The 20162-nt window shown below is 37.1% G+C and overlaps 2 protein-coding genes across 5 annotated transcripts in view, besides 1 other annotated feature; one reads left to right on the top strand and one right to left on the bottom strand.

The window, feature by feature from the left end:
* Positions 1-20162, top strand: part of MEGF10 (multiple EGF like domains 10) — a 231923-nt gene that overhangs the window by 21270 nt on the left and 190491 nt on the right. The window lies entirely within an intron of this gene.
* The window catches only part of LOC105379199 (uncharacterized), a 37642-nt gene continuing 20845 nt past the window's right edge, over positions 3366-20162 (bottom strand). For 2 of the 3 annotated variants that reach the window (XR_007058922.1, XM_047417987.1), the window contains exon 3: positions 13874-14149. Coding sequence is in view for 1 of the 3 variants with exons in the window: in XM_047417987.1 (XP_047273943.1) it covers positions 14109-14149 (41 nt within the window). In the remaining 2 variants the exon portion in view is untranslated. Of the gene's footprint in view, positions 4239-13873; positions 14150-20162 lie in introns of those variants that run through there. The other variant, XR_007058921.1, reaches the window with a different exon arrangement.
* Positions 4144-5343: an enhancer, noted in NCBI's record as "P300/CBP strongly-dependent group 1 enhancer chr5:126590405-126591604 (GRCh37/hg19 assembly coordinates)". NCBI's record gives its function as "activates an origin of replication core promoter dependent on BRD2, BRD4, P300/CBP, MED14 and CDK7 cofactors, with strong dependence on P300/CBP, by STARR-seq in HCT116 cells {active_cell/tissue: HCT116}" and the evidence as "EXISTENCE:reporter gene assay evidence [ECO:0000049][PMID:35650434]".

A 20162-nucleotide genomic window follows, 5' to 3' on the forward strand; every position in this document is an offset into this window, starting at 1 on the left:
ATTAGAAACATTCCTACTAAAGTTAGAGACAAGATAAACTTGCTGCCAGAACTGTTGTCTTTTAACCTTGTAATAGAGGTCCTAACTCTAACCAATGCAAATATATACAGACCAAAAAAGAATAACATGACACATAAATATTATAAAGAAAAGACACAGATATAATTATTTGGAAACTAAAGATTGCCATGCAAATCCAAGGAATTATCTGAAAAAATTATTAGAATCAGTAAAATTCAGTACGACAGATACAAAATTAACATAGAAAAAAATCAATGCTTTCCTATATATTATCAATAATATACTAAAGAATGAAACAGAGAAAAAAACCTATTTACAATAATAATAAAAAACCCTAACAGTTGTAAGATTCATATGTTGAAAACTGTAAAATATAGAAAAAAATCCAATAATGCAGATATGCAGGACTTTTCTAAACAGAAGACAATTTTTGTTGAGATATCAGTCCTCCTCAAGTTAATTTAGAAATGTAATGCAATCCTAATCATTATTTATGAAACTTAACATGCTATTTTATTGGTCAAATGGTAGACAAAATAGCAAGTAACCTGGAAAACTCCTAGAAGAAAAAATGAGGGAAACTTGTCTTTCAAAAATTAAAACAAATTTGAAAATATAAAAGTATAGGGTTTGCGCAGGTATAGGCAGAGATATTGGTTAATAAGATTGGATGGAATCTAGGAGGAGCAGTATGCACATCAGGGTTTAGTATAGTAAAGAGCACTGGATCTCAAGCCAGGCCACACAGTAGCTGTGCGTTCTTGAAGTTACTTAAACTCTTTGTGCCTTGGTTTCCTTATGCGTAAAAGAGGGATCATTATACTACCTACGTCTTATGGTTGTTGTGAAGATTAAATACATTAATATACAGAAAGCACTTAGAAGAGTGCCTGAAATGTGGTCAGAACTACGTAAGTGCTTGCTGCTATTAATAATAAAAATGGCAAACAATTAAGTAGGAAAATGAATTACTTTACAAATTAGGGTGAAGCTTGGTTATCCATTTTCAAAGCAATACAGTTAGGGGTGATTGGTTATCCATTTTGAAAGAAATACATTTAGACATATGCCTTAAACCATACCCAAAAAGCCAAACATAAAAGTACTAGACATAGCTGCAGAAAAAATATAAGCTTGGGGTAAAGAAAGCCTATCGAAGTAAGATATAAAACATTAAAACCATAAAGGAAAATAATCAAATATTTAAATACATTAAAATTTAAAAGGAAACTTCTGCATGCAAAAGACGTAGTAACATAATAGACAACCTTCAGCCTGGATATATATTTGCATTATATTAGCAAAGGATTAATATCAGTAAGCATCAATAGGAAAATAACAATCCCTCCAATAGAAAAATGAATGATGGATATTAAAAAGCAATTTATAGAAAAAGAAATACAAATGTTCAATAAACCCTACAAAATATTCAACCTCATTGGTAATCAGATAAATGTAAATTAATGTGATACATTTTAATCAATTTTCACTAATCAGATTAACAAAATTATAGAAGCTTTATAATACCCAGGGTTAGTAAGGATATGATAGATTAACACAATGATACCTTATTGGTAGGAGGATAAGAAGACAAAATCTTTTTGGAGAAAATTTTTTTACTATCTATTAAGATTAAAACTGCCTTTTTTTTTTACTTAGTTATTCCACATTTATGATCTTATTCTGAAGAATATTTTGCATGCAGTGGGCCTAAAAGTCTATGTACAAGAATGATCATGGCAGGTTTGTTCATGATAGTGAAAAGAGGGAAACATCCAAATACTCATAGTAGAAGAGTAGTTAAAGAGTGTATGGTAAAGCCATAATGTTGAATACTATGCAGCTATTAAAAAGGATGAAGTACATATAGTTTCATATCATTTATAATATATATGTGAAAAGCTTTTCAAGGAATAAGTGAAAGAGTAGTTTCAGAATAGCTCTATTTATTCTTTACACATGTATTAATGCACATATACTTGCACGTTGTGTTTACATATAAATATGTGAGGGTGTAGGAAAAATAATGAAAATAAAAGTACTAAATTGTTAATTGTGGTTAACTCTGGGGATGGGTGGGATAGGGTGAGAGAGACAGACTGCATTTTTAGTCTTTTCAATTAGGTATAGTTTTAACTTTCTATGATGAAAGTCCACTTATACACATCTTGTATAATAAAGGACAATGAAACATAATAGAAGAATAGCTACTGAAGATCTCAAAGAAAGACCAGGAGGCAGGTTGTTTTCTTGACAAATGCTCTTAATATCTAATTCCTATGACTTTAGCACTGTTTCAGCGCAAAGACATGAATTTTTTTTTTGAGACAGAGTGATGAATTTTAATTCATTTAATATGGCTAGCATAATCATGAAGCCAAATTTGACAAAGATAACATAGGGATAACACAACACTACAATTCATACTCATAAACACGGATACAAACATTTAAAATAAAGTGCTGAAAAATCCAGTTAATAACGAAGTACTGTTTCTTCTAAAAATGCAAAAGTGATTTAACACTTTGACAAATATTAATGCTTTTCATAGGTTAAAAGAGACAAAGCATGTGATTGTCTAGAGGTGACTTTTCCACCTATTGATCTATTTGTTTAAAAAAAATTTATTGAGCCAGGGATTATTCTAAATTCTGGTATAGAGGCAAATACAAATATGATAAAGTATGAAGGAGTGTTTAGATAGGGGAAGTCCTAGATATGAAAGAAATAGATAATCAAGCTTCTATCTGATAGCAATAGAAAATAATATTCATGTTAGGGAAAACCAGGAGTATTCCTATTCAAGTTGGAAGCAATACAATCAATTATTATGATTATTAAAGCTGTGTTTAATAAGTACTAACCAATGCAATAGGCTATATAAAAGAAATGTCATATACATTGGAAAAGAAAATTATAATACACAATTATAGTTATTTATACATTTATATGATTCTCTACATAGAAAACTGAAGATAATGAGTTGAAAAAGTATTAGGAGATAGAGAGAGGCATTTGGTCAGGTGTCAAGTTACAAGAAAAATATAGAGCTTTCCTGCACACTAGAAACAGCCAGTTATCATATGTATATAATGGAAAAGGATGTCATTATAATAGCAAAAATGATATAGCAGGCCCAGGCAAAAATAACAGAAAATTCACAGGACTTATAACAAGAAAATGATAAACTTTTTTTGAGAATAGAAAAGAAGTCTCAACCATGTTTCTAGAGGAAAATACTCAGAATTAGAAAGATGTCAGTTCTCCTTAAATTATCTTTCTATAAACTCAATTCAATTCTAATAAAAAACAATAATGTAATTTGAGAAAAAATTGAAAAATAGTTCTTATTTAAAATTTTTATTTTTATTTTTGTCAAAGTCATACATATTCACTTTATGCTGAGTTCTACTAGCTTATAACAGCAATCTACAGCTTTGCACTTTCTAGCTTCTGATTCCCATTTCCAAAGTAAAAAATTTCCAACAGTTTAAGCAGTTTTTACTGGTATTTACATCCATATTTTCAAATAAGCAGATTTTTCTGCTATTTAAGTTTTGTTTTTCTTTTTCAGTTTTGAATATTATCTATTGACTTCCTACTATTGAAGATAAGATTTAGTTTTCTTAACCACTCCTCAAACCCCAACCAGTCTCCGTCCCCCAACTCAAATACACCCTACACAAATGCACAATCATTTAATCTTCTTTGGTTCTATTCATATACAGTGTTAAAATTATAGTGTCTATATAAATAGCATTCACAGGTGAGTCTCACAATATTCTACAATTTCCTTTTATAATAGAAATGAAGCACTGTTTCTTCTAAAAAATGCAAAAGCTTTTTTTATGACAAATATTAATACTTTTCATAGGTTAAAAGAGATAAAGCTTTTCCAGAAAAGCTAATAATTATTTCATTTTTTAAAAGTTGCATTGTGGCTGGGTGCAGTGGCTCACACCTGTAATCCTAGCACTTTGGGAGGCTGAGGTGGGTGATCACCTGAGGTCAGGAGTTCAAGACCAGCCTGGCAAACATGGCGAAACCTCGTCTCTACTAAAAATACAAAAATTAGCCGGGTGTGGTGGTGCATGCCTGTAATCCAAGCTACTTGGGAGGCTGAGGCAGGAGAATTGCTTGAACCCAGGAGGCGGAGGTTGCAGTGAGCCAAGATCACGCCACTGTACTACAGCCTGGGTGACAAAGTGAGACTCCATCTGAAAAAAAAAAAAAGTTGCTTTGTTATTGATATTGATATCGTAATCACCTGACAGGTTCTTTTTGCCCCCTGCACAGATAAAACCAACTCACTGAGACAGTGGTATTGCAGTAGAGAAAGAGTTTAATTAATGTAGAACTAGCCAAGCAGAAGATGGGAATTTATTACTCAGATCAGCCTCATTGAGAACTCAGAGGCTATGGTTTGTATGGATAATTTGGTGGGCAGGGGGCCAGGGAATGAGTGCTGTTGATTGGTTGGGGATGAAATCATAGGAATGTGGAAGACAGTCTTTATGTACTGAGTCAGCCTCTGGGTGGGGGCTGCAGGACTGGTTGAATCATGAGTCACAGGTCCAGGTGGAGTCAGTTGGTTGCCAGAATGCAAAAGTCTGAAAATCATCTCAAAAGACCAATCTTAGGTTTTACAATAGTGATGTTATCTATAGGGGCAATTGAGGAAGTCACAAATCTTGTGACCTCTGGCCTCGTGACAACTGAGCGGCAAGGGATTATACAGAAAAGCAAGCTAGGGAACAATGACTGGTTATCATTTAACTATGCCTACATTTTAGCAAAATTCAGGCCCATCTTATAATCCTAATCTCATAGCCTTTCAATAGTCTTACAAAGGCAATTTCAGTCCCCAGACAAGGAGGGGGGCAGTTTTAGGGAAGGACTATTATCATCCTTGCTTGGCCTACACCCAGGAATGAGTGAGGACAGCCAGCCTATGAAGCTAGAAGCAAGATGGATTTAGCCATGCTACATTTCTCTCACTGCCATAAACTTTGCAAAGGTGGTTTCAATACAATGGATAGAGCTAAAGGGGAGGAGAGAGTAAGAATGAAAATAAGAACCTCTTAATACATTCAAGCACTTAAGGAAAATCTGAGAACTCCAGTTCTTGAAAATATGGATTTTGAATCCATCCTTCCACTCCACAATGGATTCGTCTCTTTCTAGTCTTACTGTCTTGCTGTGTTTCAGGACATTCCTTTATTGTCATCCTGGGAACACAACCTCCTTTTTTGATGTTGGAGCTCCCATTTGTTGGATTCTATGTCTTCCTCTTTCATGGTTTACAACCTTGTTTGTGGGGAGCACTTTATTGAGTAGATTCCAGGGAACTGTGCTACAGAACTGACCTAGGGAGGAAATGCTACTGCCACTGCCCCAACAGGCACCAGAGAAAACTGCTGTTGCTTCTGCATCCCCCAGCTCAAACCAACCACTGGTATCCTCTGGGAAATCTGGGCTCCCATGACTGCCCTAACCAAAGCCTGGAAGCCTCTGCAGTCATCTGTGCCTGTAAGTTAAAACTGTACCTGGTATTGTGTTTTAAAATTAATCTGTTAGACCCTTTTCTTTAAATACATATTTACAAGCTGTGTTTTTAAATGTTAAGAAATGTTAAAAAAAATTTCCTCCAATCTATTTACACAGATTGGAATAATTTGAGCTTGATCAGGTGATATTCAAATGGATTAATTCTCATTAAGTTGGTGAGTAAAAACAACCTGTGATGACAAACTTAGTTTATAATTTTAAGTTAACATACACAGTTTTTTACAACAGTCGTTTTGACCAAAGGAGATAGTCCTTGATGTTTCCTGTTAATAATTATCCCTGATGTTTATTATTGATGTTTCCTCAAGGATATCCTTTATCCTTGATGTTTTCTTTTAGTAATTTTCCTTCGACTGACCACCCCCACAATCCTGCTCCATGGTCATAAATCCCCACTTGTTCTTACTGAAGTCAGAGTTGAGTTTGATCTCTCTCCCTTGCAGTGAGACCCTATTACTGTGGTCCCTATACCTGTTGCTAAGGGCTCCCTTGCTTTGAGTAAAGTCTGCTTTAACAAGTGTCATGAATATGTTTTTCTTTAACCATAGTAACTTATATCACATGGTCTAATTGCAAGTTTGTAAGTCAACATTTTATAGAAATATTAAAAATAAAGCTTTGTAGGGTAGAAGAGGGAAAGCTTCCCCTTCACCCTCTGAAAACTCACTGAAAATAAACTGATGAAAGGAAGATTAACAGGAGAAAAAGCCATACAAAATTTATTTAATGTGCCCTGGGGAGAATCACAGGACAGTGATTGCCCTAATCCCATGAGGTCCAGTTGGTTATATACTCTTCTTCATAAGGAAGAGGGAGATGGGGAGTAGGGTATAGGAGTAAATGATTTGCAGGGGAAATGAATGAGTCCCAAGAACAATGGCCTTGGGCAAAGTTCCTGTGAGCTCTGGAGGAAGTGGCTGCAAGGTGAGAGGCAGAACTTCATTGTGAGCAAAGGTTGTCTTATGCAGATAGAGTCTCCCAGTTAATCTCTTGGAGCTACTTCTTATAGATGAAAAGTCTGTCTGTGTGTGGGTGTGACTCCCAGTCCCTTCTCTGTGGGAATTGACTCTTCTCCAGTGGTTAATCTTTCCTGGCTATTTGATGAGATTCCTAGGGGAGAGTCTTAAGACAATTGCATTTCTTTTTATTAAAAAAAAAAAAAAAAAAGCTTTCTTAGTCAAATAAGGAAATTCCAGAGAGAATCCCTCCTGGTTCTTTGGGAAAGAAAGAGAATACCAGACAGGGCTTTGGGGGAAGGTCAGAGAGACTGGTTCTGTGGCTTATTTCTGAGGCTTTTCAATTTTCTTTGATTCAAAGAACTCAGCATGACAAGCGCCATATTTTGTGGTACTGCTTCTTGTGCCTCAGCAGGGCAAATAAAAAGGATTACCTTTGTAAACCAAAAAGTATCTGAGAAAAGTCTCAATCAATTTAGACGTTTATTTTGCCAAGGGAGAAAAGTCTCAATCAATTTAGATGTTTATTTTGCCAAGGTTAGGGACATGCCTGTGATAGTCTCAGGAAGTCCTGAGTGCCATATTAGGGGTATCTTTTTCTGTACCCCCAACACTTTCAAGCATTATAAGAAAGCTTTGTTCTTAGCAAACTGACCTAGGCAGAAACTCAACTTTTTGGAGACAAAAAAATGTATAATTCTAACTTAGATTTCTTAGAAATAGGTATGTACATAATTGCTAAATATTACTTATATATTTGAAAGTGGTAAGAGCTGTCACAAAGAGTAAACAGACTTATTTTTTCACATTTATTAAAAATTAAGATTTGTTTCTACTATTTGAATAACATTTGCTATCAAGTGCTCAACTAAAGAATATCTGTAACATAGTGATGAAACTATTTTCTGCAAGTCCATGGGTTTAAATTGTTTAAATAGATGGGTGACAATATGAATCAGATGGAGACCCATCAATCTGATACTTAGCTTTAATTTCCAATTGTGCTCAGTATTCTTGCTTGCATAGCAAATTCTCTTCCTGCTGGAATAAAAGCATGAAAAAATTTTCCTAATCTCAGAATTGAGACCAAGTGACTTTTATGTTAGCATCAGTCATTCTCTCTTTGGGGTAATCTATGACAACACTGAGAAAATGAGATTGGTTTTAAGAGTTTGGAATACAAATGAGGATGAAGAAAATAAAGAAATAAGGAATTATGTAATGGTAGTAGTGGATTCAAGCACTGTACCTTAAATTCTACAAAATTAATTATAGAACAGAGTTATAAGTACTTTCATGTTCCAAGTTAGAGCAATTTTGAGTTGAATATCATCCATTAGTAATTATTTGATTTTTTTGCTTCAAATTTGGAGCAATATTACTTTGAAAGATACACAAAGAAAAAATAGGATTGTAGGACAAAATTTATAGACATTTCTCTGAGCTTCCCTTACCTAGTGCTAAGGTTTGTTTGTTTCTTCCAAAACTTATGTCAAAATTTAATTGCCATTGTGATGGTACTGGAAGGTGGGGCCTCTAATAGGTATTTAGGTTATGAGTGTTCCACCCTAATGAACGGACTAATGCTGTAATTTCAGTAATGGATTTGCTCTCTCTTGCTCTCTCCTGTCCTCTTTTTGTCCTTCTGCCATGTGATGCATTTCATCATGTGTGATGTAACAAGAAGGCAGCTTGCAGTTTACAGGTCCTTGATCTTGAACTTCCCAGCCTCCAGAACTTTGAGAAATAAATTTCTGTTCACTACAAACTACCCAGTCTATGGTATTCTCTTATAGTAACACAAAACAGACTGAGACACCTAGTTATATATCCATCTTTTGATCAAGGCGACTATGGTGGTGAGGGTCATTGGAGAATGGCTGAGGGTGCCACAGTTATACAGTAAGACTTCTGATCTTAGCTGTGTCCAAGAGCCCATTACAATATAATTTACATTTATGAGATGATCTGAGCTTGAAATCTGAACAATTCCAGATGAGAATAGGCAGCAGAGGAGGATACAGTGAGGCTGATTGTGACCCTCCATGATGCAGGATTGGTAAACACAGAATGGGGGAGGCAATGCTCAAGATGATCAAAATAATCATCTGCCACTCCCAGGCCAAAGACCTAGTTCTGTATAATTGGGATATACACTTCTAGGGCTATGATCTTCTCAGTCTGTAACTTTTTATTTTTCCATGATCTAACAGTCTCTATTTTGAGCTTCCATTCTATTTGGTGGTAGAAAATTAACAGAGTCCATTCTTCATTCTTGCAAGGTCTGAGGGATGATGGGTCCTTGAGTTGCACTGAAATGTCAAAGGGGGGAGAGTGTGGTCTCAGGACATCATCTGTCCTGTGTGGAATTTGCTGTGACCTAGAAACTATCTGGTTCCTGGTTGTCATTATCCTGCTGTTGTGATATCCAATATAATGTCCACATTCCTACAGTGTTTCTGGTTTTGTGTGGCTTATACTGCTGTATCCCCTAATCATGGCTGCAAGACCCCTCCAGGTATATCAGCCCCCTCTCAGCTAAATTGCTCAGCTTTTAGGGGTAACTTTTGGATGATGTCTTGTGCCACTCTGGAACCATGGGAAACTGGGAAGTTGTCTCAAGCCCTCTCTGCCTAGAGAGACTGCCGTGTCATGGTATTTCAGGGTGTCAGTTAACATGTTTCCAGCTGTGAATAACAAGAAACTTATCTTAAACTACCTAAGTGAAACTAGCTTATACTGTATAAGAATTCAAGAGGTGGCCGGGCACGGTGGCTCATGCCTGTAATCCCAGCACTTTGGGAGACTGAGGTGGGCAGATCAGCTGAGGTCAGGAGTTCGAGACCAGCCTGGCCAACATGGTGAAACCCTGTCTCTACTAAAAATACAAAAATTAGCCAGGCATGGTGGTGTGTGCCTATAATCCCATCTACTCAGGAGGCTGAGGCAGGAGAATCACTTGAACCTGGGAGGCAGAGGTTGCAGTGAGCTGAGATCACGCCACTGCACTCCAGCCTGGGCAACAGAGTGAGTCTCCATCTCAAAAATAAATAAATAAATAAGTAAATAAATAAATAAATGTAAAAAAAATAAAAAAGAATTCAAGAGGTAAGGTGGGTTTCAGGCTGTGTTGATCCAACATGTTCAATAATGCAATTAAACACCCAGGTTCTCTGTGTTTCTCTACACTGCCTCTGACCTGTCACCTTTGTTCTTAAGCAGACTCCTGTCTTGGTTGTTTGATAGGTGTAAGGAGAAAATAGGGATTTCTCTTTTATATCTGGTTGGTTTCTCATGATTCATACTTAAGAATAAAGAGTGTTCCCAGAAGTTTCTGGTAAACCTCCCTTCATGTCTCATTGTCATAACTAGGTCGCATGCTCATTTCTGAACCAATTATTAGAAAGATAAATGGAATTACTCTTAGACCAAAATCAGGCTGAACCCTGAAGCTGAGGTAACTCTGTCACTCATTGTCTCCTGTTGTAGTTGGCTACGTGGTGGAGAGATGAGTATCTGGACAAAATTTAAAAATGTATTAGGAAGAGAACAAGGAAGATGGATATTCTCTGAGTAAAACTACCAATCAGAATTTAGTTAGGAAAACAAACCACTCTAGGCATTTCGAGCAGAGTGGATTTTAACAAAGGGAGTTAAGTGACAAAATTATTGGAAGGGATAAAAGAGACAAAAGGAAGGGAGAAAATATGATGTTAGTCAGTGCTCAGGAACTTTAGGAAGATGCTACTGCTCCTGCAGGACACCACAACTGCGCAATCCCTCATTCCTCTGAAACTATTCTCATTTGTTCCTGTAGTTCCTACAGTAGTAGGAACAGGAACTGTAGTGCAGTTCAGTACAGTACAGGAACTGTAGTGCAGTTCCTATGGGGCGCTCTGCTCCAAAGCCAAAGCCAGGAGAAGATGTGCCTCTGCCTTCCTTCTTCCTTTTCATTTTTTAATAAACAGATTTATTGAGATATAGTTTATATAACATACAATCCAATCATTTAAAATATATAATGCAATGCCTTTAGTGTATTCACAGAGTTGTGAATTCATCACCACTATAAATTTTAGAATATTTCATTACCTCCAAAAAGAAATCCCTTCTCATTAGACATCACCCCTCAATCCAAATCCCCTTATACCCCACTGTCTGGCTCTGGGCAATCAGTAATCTGCTTTTTGTCTGTATAGGTTTGCCTAATCCAGACATTTCATAGAAATAGAATCTTACAATAAGTGGCCGTTTGTAATGGATACTTTCACTTAGCATAATGTTCTCAGTGTTATGGTTCATTCATTCTTGTTGTAATATGTGTCAATATTTCATGTGGTCTGATTACTAAATATATTGCATAGTATCAATATACCATGTTTTACTTATCCATTCATTAGTTAATAAACGTTTGGGTTATTTCTACTTTTTGGTTATTGTAAATAATATTGCTATGACCATTTGTGTACAAGGTTTTGTGTGGAATTATACATGTTGAGTGTATACTTAGGAGTGGAATTGCTGGTTCATATGCTAACTCTAACCTTTTGAAGAATTGCTATACTGATTGTAAAGCAGCTGCCCCATTTTACATTCCCACCAGCAATATATGAAGGTTCCAATTTCTCCACATTATCACTGGCAGTTCTTATTATCTGTTTTTTAAAAAAATTTTATTATTGCCTTCTTAGTGGGTATGAAGTGATATTCCATTGTGATTTTGATTTGCATTTCCCTAATGTCTAATAATATTGAATATTTTTTCTTGTGCTTATTAGCCATTAGTATATCTTCTTTGGAGAAATGTCTGTTCAGATGCTTTGCCCAGTTTTTAATTGGATCATTTGTCTTTTTATTATTGAGTTATAATACTTTTTTATGTGTTCTAGATACAAGCACCTTGTCAGATACATGATTTGCAAATATTTTCTCTTATATCATAGTCTGTCTTTCCACTTTTTCTTAATGCCCTTTGGTATATGAGAGTTTTTAATTTTGATGAAGTCTAATTTACCTGTAATTCCTTTTGCTGCTTGTGCTTTGGGTATCATATCTAAAAATCTATTGCCAAATCTGAAATCATGAAGATTTACTCTCTATGTTATCTTCTAAGAATTTTACAGATTTAGTAGGTACAATTAGATCTTAGATCCATTTTGAGTTATTTTTTGTGTATGATGGAAGGAAGGGGTCCAACTTCATTCTTTTGCATATGGCTATCCAGGTGTCCCAGCACTTCCCTTTAATCTTGTGCAAGTCCCTTCCACTGGCAAGTCTGGAACTAAAATTAGGCTGAAAAGGGAAATTGGAAAATCTAGTTTCCAGACGTCTAGCCCCTGTGATATAAGAGAGAGTTTACAAGGGTGGGGACCAACCCGCAGTATTTAGCACCTAACTACCATAAGCATTAGGCTTCTGTGGGGGTTGCTGTCTCTTGGGTGTCTAGACAGAAAGCAGGCCACATGCCTCCTTTTGTTCAAAGATCCTAAACCTATCAAGGATCAATTTATCACCCTCAAATCTTGGGATGGATGCAGAATGTGGGATCCCAGCTCACTCTATTTTATTTCTCTCATCTCTGTTCTTCCTTCTCCCTAGTCCAGAGAATTCTAAAATTGAGTCTAAGAAAAACTCTGTCCTATATCTTTCCAGATATTTCTGCCTTCTACACTTTTGTTCTCTATCTCTATCTCTTTCTTCTCTTAGATTGGATCCTTAAGTAAAACTGCCTGAAAAGGAGGGCTTTGGTAGAGATGAGGAAAATTTTGTTATTAATTAATACTTTGAAGTTTTATCCTGCCATACACTGGTAGAAATAGAGATGAGAGGGTGTGGAGTGGGGCAAATTATTATAGTACTTGCTGAAAGTAACAATAGTAGCCATGTTAAGATAAAAAAGTAACAACAAAAAAGTCCTACTTCTCTAAGAAATACATGCATATGAGCATATGAGGTGTTGTCTACCTTTAAAGGTATATTGCCTTGCTTTTCTTAATTTCAAAACAATTTGAAACATACTATGGTAAGCTTTTAAAAGAAGGAAAGAAAATCTTAAAGGTACAAGATTATTTTAGACTGAATATTAGACAATAGAAAGCAGCCCTTTGCCTGACAGATTGGGAAGATGGGTTCATGAATGTGATGCAGTGTGTCAGAGACAGGAATAAGATTTGGTGAAGGAAGAGGGATTCTCGGGGGGGGGGTAAAATTATAGATAAGAAGCTAAAATTAATAGATAAGCAGGACATTCATGCCTTTGCTATAGATTTCCAGTTATGACTAAGCAGGTATTAGAGGGTAATTTGGCAATGGTTTTACAATTGTATTTTATAATGAACCATAGCATACTAATATAGACTAAACTGTTTAAACATCTTGGGAGACTTTAATTTATTTAGCTTAAGAGCTTAGTTGAAGGGAAAAAAATAGTGGAAAGTAAGCTGTAGGATTGCTTTTCCTGAATTCTAAATTTAGCTTAAGCATATTTCTAATCTTCTATGCCAGGAATATTTTCTTGAAAATGCATTTGAATTGATTAATCTGATCATCTTTATTAATATGGGATTTGAACAGACATAAACATGCTTACTGTATTTTACTGTGTTGGTTTTTAGGCTAAGTAATCCTGTAAATGATTAGTTAATTATATTCTGTTCGATTACCAAGGTACTTAACTTAAATCCAGTATGATCATAAAAGGTAAGTAAATCTTCAGTGACAATGATGGAGATTCCACACATGGTTACATTTGAGAAGGCAAAAGGAACTACATCATGTGACCAGAGCCTGCACAATGTAATTCCCATTACATTATGACAGTAATTTAAAAGAAATAGACTGTGGGAAGAGCAACACAAATTCACAGCCACTGTTTTGGGTCTGATGACCCAAAGACAAATAATATTCCTCACCAAACTGATTCTCTTATGAAAGTAGGAGGGAAACTTTCCATTACCAGTTGTATAAATTGCCCCTATCCCTTTTCAATTTAGGCCCAGATGACCTCACCTTACATATGGGTATAAATAAGGTACTTTTTAATGAACTACAGAAAAGGAAAACACTATGTGAAAACTCAAGGATGTGGTATCAATATAACTCTCAAATTCAAAAAGGAAACTAGCATATTCAGAGCATCTCTAACATACCATCTCATTTAATCCTCATAACAGGCCTAGGAAGAGGGAATTATTATCTCTAGAGGTGGAAACTGTATCAGAGATATATTAGAATCTAGTTTGTCTGATCCCAAATTCTATGTACTTTTGATTGTTACATTTTGATAGCACTGTTTTAGGTGTGAAAGACAGAAACCAATTCAAATTAGCTGAAGAAAAGTGAGGGATTTATTGGCTCATAAAACTGAAAAGTATAGTGATAATCTTACTCAGTGAACAAGCTCAGCTGCAGGCAAGGTTGGATCTAGAAGTCAAAATGGAACTCCTTCTCTCTGTGTCTTCGTTCTGCTTTTCTCTATGTTGCACTCTCCATCAGGCAGGTTCTCAGGAGCTCTATTTTCAATCCCATGGAAAAGAGATCCTCTTTCCAAGTTTGAAAAAAATTTCAGGATTGAATCTCATTGTCCTGGCTCGGTCTAAGTAATCCTAAATACATGATAAAAACAATTTGAAAGAAAAATAAAGAAAAAGGGTAGCTGCTTCAGAAAATGTGAATTTTAACTCTTTTTTAAAATTTCCAACTTTTTTTTTCATTTCTGGGATACATGTGCAGGACGTGCAGGTTTGTTACATAGGTAAACGTGTGCCATGGTGGTTTGCTGCACAGATCATCCCATTACCCAGGTATTTTTTTTTTTATTATACTTTAAGTTCTAGGGTACATGTGCACAACGTGCAGGTTTGTTACATATGTATACATGTGCCATGTTGGTGTGCTGCACCTATTAACTTGTCATTTACATTAGGTATATTTCCTAATGCTTTCCCTCCTCCCTTCCCCCTCACCACAACAGGCCCCAGTGTGTGATGTTCCCCTTCTTGTGTCCAAGTGTTCTCATTGTTCAGTTCCCACCTATGAGTGAGAACATGCAGTGTTTGGTTTTTTGTTCTTGAGATAGTTTGCTGAGAATGATGGTTTCCAGCTTCATCCATGTCCCTACAAAGGACATGAACTTATCCTTTTTTTTCTGGCTGCATAGTATTCCATGGTGTATATGTGCCACATTTTCTTAATCCAGTCTATCATTGATGGACATTTTGGTTGGTTCCAAGTCTTTGCTATTGTGAATAGTGCCACAATAAACATAGGTGTGCCTGTGTCTTTATAGCAGCATGATTTATAATCCTTTGGGTATATACCCAGTAATGGGATGGCTGGGTCAAATGGTATTTCTAGTTCTAGATCCTTGAGGAATTACCACACTGTCTTCCACAATGGTTGAACTAGTATGCAGTCCCACCAACAGTGTAAAAGTGTTCCTATTTCTCCACATCCTCTCCAGCACCTGTTGTTTCCTGACTTTTTAATGATCGCCATTCTAACTGGTGTGGTATGGTATCTCATTGTGGTTTTGATTTGCATTTCTCTGATGGCCAGTGGTGATGAGCATTTTTTCATGTGTCTGTTGGCTGCATAAATGTCTTCTTTTGAGAAGTGTCTGTTCATATCCTTTGCCCACTTGTTGATGGGGTTGTTTGTTTTTTTCTTGTAAATTTGTTTGAGTTCTTTGTAGACTCTGGATATTAGCCCTTTCTCAGATGAGTAGATTGCAAAAATTTTCTCCCATTCTGTAGGTTGCCTGTTCACTCTGATGGTAGTTTCTTTTGCTGTGTAGAAGCTCCTTAGTTTAGTTAGATCCTGTTTGTCAATTTTGGCTTTTGTTGCCATTGCTTTTGGTGTTTTAGACATGAAGTCCTTTCCCATGCCTATGTCCTGAATGGCATTGCCTAGGTTTTCTTCTAGGTTTTTTATGGTTTTAGGTCTAACATTTAAGTCTTTAATCCATCTTGAATTAATTTTTGTATAAGGTGTAAGGAAGGGATCCAGTTTCAGCTTTCTACATATGGCTAGCCAGTTTCTCCAGCACCATTTATTAAATAGGGAATCCTTTCCCCATTTCTTGTGTTTCAAAGGTTTGTCAAAGATCAAATGGTTGTAGATGTGTGGTGTTATTTCTGAGGCCTCTCTTCTGTTCCATTGGTCTATATCTCTGTTTTGGTACCAGTACCATGCTGTTTTGGTTACTGTAGCCTTGTAGTATAGTTTGAAGTCAGGTAGCATGATGCCTCCAGCTTTGTTCTTTTGGCTTAGGATTGTCTTGGAAATGTGGGCTCTTTTTTGGTTCCATATGAACTTTAAAGTAGTTTTTTCCAATTCTTTGAAGAAAGTCATTGGTAGCTTGATGGCGATGGCGTTGAATCTATAAATTACCTTGAGCAGTATGGCCATTTTCACAATATTGATTCTTCCTATCCATGAGCATGGAATGTTCTTCCATTTGTTTGTATCCTCTTTTATTTTATTGAGCAGTGGTTTATAGTTCTCCTAGAAGAGGTCCTTCACATCCCTTGTAAGTTGGATTCCTAGGTATTTTTTTCTCTTTGAAGCAATTGTGAATGGGAGTTCACTCATGATTTAGCTCTCTGTTTGTCTGTTATTGGTGTATAAGAATGCTTGTGATTTTTGCATATTAATTTTGTATCCTGAGACTTCGCTGAAGTTGCTTATCAGCTTAAGGAGATTTTGGGCTGAGACAATGGGGTTTTCTAGATATACAATCATGTCATCTGCAAACAGGGATGATTTGACTTCTTCTCTTCCTAATTGAATACGCTTTATTTCTTTCTCCTGCCTGATTTCCCTGGCCAGAACTTCCAACACTATGTTGAATAGGAGTGGTGAGAGAGGGCATCCCTGTCTTGTGCCAGTTTTCAAAGGGAATGCTTCCAGTTTTTGTCCATTCAGTATGATATTGGCTGTGGGTTTGTCATAAATAGCTCTTATTATTTTGAGATACAGCCCATCAATACCTAATTTATTGAGAGTTTTTCACATGAAGGGATGTTGAATTTTGTCAAAGACCTTTTCTGCATCTATTGAGATAATCATGTGGTTTTTGTCTTTGGTTCTGTTTATATGCTGGATTACATTTATTGATTTGTGTATGTTGAACCAGCCTTGCATCCCAGGGATGAAGCCCACTTGGTCATGGTGGATAAGCTTTTTGATGTGCTGCTGGATTCATTTTGCCAGTATTTTATTGAGGATTTTTGCATCAATGTTCATCAGGGATATTGGTGTAAAATTCTCTTTTTTTATTGTGTCTCTGTCAGGCTTTGGTATCAGGATGATGCTGGCCTCATAAAATGAGTTAGGGAGGCTTCCCTCTTTTTCTATTGATTGGAATAGTTTCAGAAGGAATGGTACCAGCTCCTCCTTGTACCTCTGGTAGAATTTAGCTGTGAATCAGTCTGGTCCTGGACTTTTTTTGGTTGGTAGGCTATTAATTATTGCCTCAATTTCAGAGCCTGTTATTGGTCTATTCAGGGATTCAAGTTATTCCTGGTTTAATCTTGGGAGGGTGTATGTGTCCAGGAATTTATCCATTTCTTCTAGATTTTCTAGTTTATTTGCATAGAGGTGTTTATAGTACTCTCTGATGGTAGTTTGTATTTCTGTGGGATCAGTGGTGATATCCCCTTTATCATTTTTTATTATGTCTATTTGATTCTTCTCTCTTTTCTTCTTTATTAGTCTTGCAAGCAGTCTATCAATTTTGTTGATCTCAAAAAACCAGCTCCTGGATTCATTGATTTTTTGAAGGATTTTTTATGTCTCTATCTCCTTCAGTTCTTCTCTGATCTTACTTATTTCTTGCCTTCTGCTAGCTTTTGAATGTGTTTGCTCTTGCTTCTCTAGTTCTTTTAATTGTGATGTTAGGGTGTCAATTTTAGATCTTTCCTGCTTTCTCTTGTGGGCATTTAGTGCTATAAATTTCCCTCTACACACTACTTTAAATGTGTCCCAGAGATTCTGGTATGTTGTGTCTTTGTTCTCATTGGTTTCAAAGAACATCTATTTCTGCCTTCATTTCGTTATGTACCCAGTAGTCATTCAGGAGCAGGTTGTTCAGTTTCCAGGTAGTTGAGCAGTTTTGAGTGAGTTTCTTAATCCTGAGTTCTAGTTTGATTGCACTGTGGTCTGAGAGACAGTTTGTTATAATTTCTGTTCTTTTACATTTGCTGAGGAGTCCTTTACTTCCAACTAAGTGGTCAGTTTTGGAATAAGTGCGATGTGGTTCTGAGAAGAATGTGTATTCTGTTGATTTGGGGTGGAGAGTTCTGTAGATGTCTGTTAGGTCCGCTTGGTGTAGAGCTGAGTTCAATTCCTGGATATCCTTGTTAACTTTCTGTCTCGTTGATCTGTCTAATGTTGACAGAACTGCAAGGCGGCAGCGAGGCTGGGGGAGGGGCGCCCACCGTTGGTGAGGCTGGAGTAGGTAAACAAAGGGGCCAGGAAGCTTGAACTGGGTGGAGCCCACCGCAACTCAAGGAGGCCTGCCTGCCTCTGTAGACCCCACCTCTGGGGGTAGGGCATAGCCGAACAAAAGGCAGCAGAAACCCCTGCAGACTTAAATGTCCCTGTCTGACAGCTTTGAAGAGAGTAGTGGTTCTCCTAGCACGGAGTTTGAGATCTGAGAACGGACAGACTGCCTCCTCAGGTGGGTCCCTGACCTCTGAGTAGCCTAACTGGGAGGCACCCCCAAGTGGGGGCAGACTGACACTTCACTCAGCCAGGTACCCCTTTGAGACGAAGCTTCCAGAGGAACGATCAGGCAGCAACATTTGCTGTTCAGCAATATTCGCTGTTCTGCAGCCTCCGCTGCTGATACCCAGGCAAACAGGGTCTGGAGTGGCCCTCCAGCACACTCCAACAGACCTGCAGCTGAGGGTCCTGACTGTTAGAAGGAAAACTAACAAACAGAAAGGACATCCACACCAAAACCCCATCTGTTGGTCACCATCATCAAAGACCAAAGGTAGACAAAACCACAAAGATGGGGAAAAAACAGAGCAGAAATGCTGAAAATTCTAAAAATCAGAGCACCTCTCCCCCTCCAAAGGAACGCAGCTCCTCGCCAGCAATGGAACAAAGCTGGATGGAGAATGATTTTGACGAGTTGAAAGAAGAAGGCTTCAGACGATCAAACTACTCCGAGCTAAAGGAGCGAGTTCAAACCCAATGCAAAGAAGTTAAAAACCTCGAAAAAATGTTAGAATGAATGGCTAACTAGAATAACCAGTGTAGAGAAGTCCTTAAATGACCTGATTGAGCTGAAAACCATGGCACAAGAACTACGTGACAAATGCACAAGCTTCAGTAGCCGATTTCATCAACTGGAAGAAAGGGTATCAGTGATGGAAGATCAAATGAATGAAATGAAGCAAGAAGAGAAGTTTAGAGAAAAAAGAGTAAAAAGAAATGAACAAAGCCTCCAAGAAATATAGGACTATGTGAAAAGACCAAATCTATGTCTGATTGATGTACCTGAAAGTGATGGAGAGAATGGAACCAAGTTGGAAAACACTCTTCAGGATATTATCCAGGAGAAATTCCCCGATCTAGCAAGGCAGGCCAACATTCAAATTCAGGAAATACAGAAAACGCCACACTCCTCGAGAAGAGCAACTCCAAGATACATAATTGTCAGATTCACCAAAGTTGAAATGAGGGAAAAAATGTTAAGGGCAGCCAGAGAGAAAGGTCGGGTACACACAAAAGGAAACCCATCAGACTAACAGTGGATCTCTCAGCAGAAACTCTACAAGCCAGAAGAGAGTGGGGGCCAATAGTCAACATTCTTAAAGAAAAGAATTTTCAACACAGAATTTCATATCCAGCCAAACTAAGCTTCATAAGTGAAGGAGAAATAAAATCCTTTACAGACAAGCAAATGCTGAGAAATTTTGTCACCACCAGGCCTGCCCTAAAAGAGCTGCTGAAGGAAGCACTAAACATGGAAAGGAACAACCAGTACCAGCCACTGCAAAAACATGCCAAATTGTAAAGACCATCGATGCTGGGAAGAAACTGCATCAACTAATGAGCAAAATAACCAGCTAACATCATAATGACAGGATCAAATTCACACATAACAATATTAACCTTAAATGTAAATGGGCTAAATGCTCCAATTAAAAGACCCAGACTGGCAAATTGGATAAAGAGTCAAGACCCATCAGTGTGCTGTATTCAGGAGACCCATCTCATGTGCAGAGACACACATAGGCTCAAAATAAAGGGATGGAGGAAGATCTACCAAGCAAACGGAAAACAAAAAAAGGCAGGGGTTGCAATCCTAGTCTCTGATAAAACAGACTTTAAACCAACAAAGATCAAAAGAGACAAAGAAGACCATTACATAGTGGTAAAGGGATCAATTCAACAAGAAGAGCTAACTATCTTAAATATATATGCACCCAATACAGGAGCACCCAGATTTGTAAAGCAAGTCCTTAGAGACTTACAAAGAGACTTAGACTCCCACACAATAATAATGGGAGACTTTAACACCCCACTGTCAACATTACCCAGGTATTAAGCCCAGCATCCATTAGCTGTTCTTCCTGATCCTCTTCCTCCTCCCACCCCCTGCCC

This window comes from Homo sapiens, chromosome 5 (assembly GCF_000001405.40).
Source record: "Homo sapiens chromosome 5, GRCh38.p14 Primary Assembly".
Classification (NCBI taxonomy): Eukaryota; Metazoa; Chordata; class Mammalia; order Primates; family Hominidae; genus Homo; species Homo sapiens.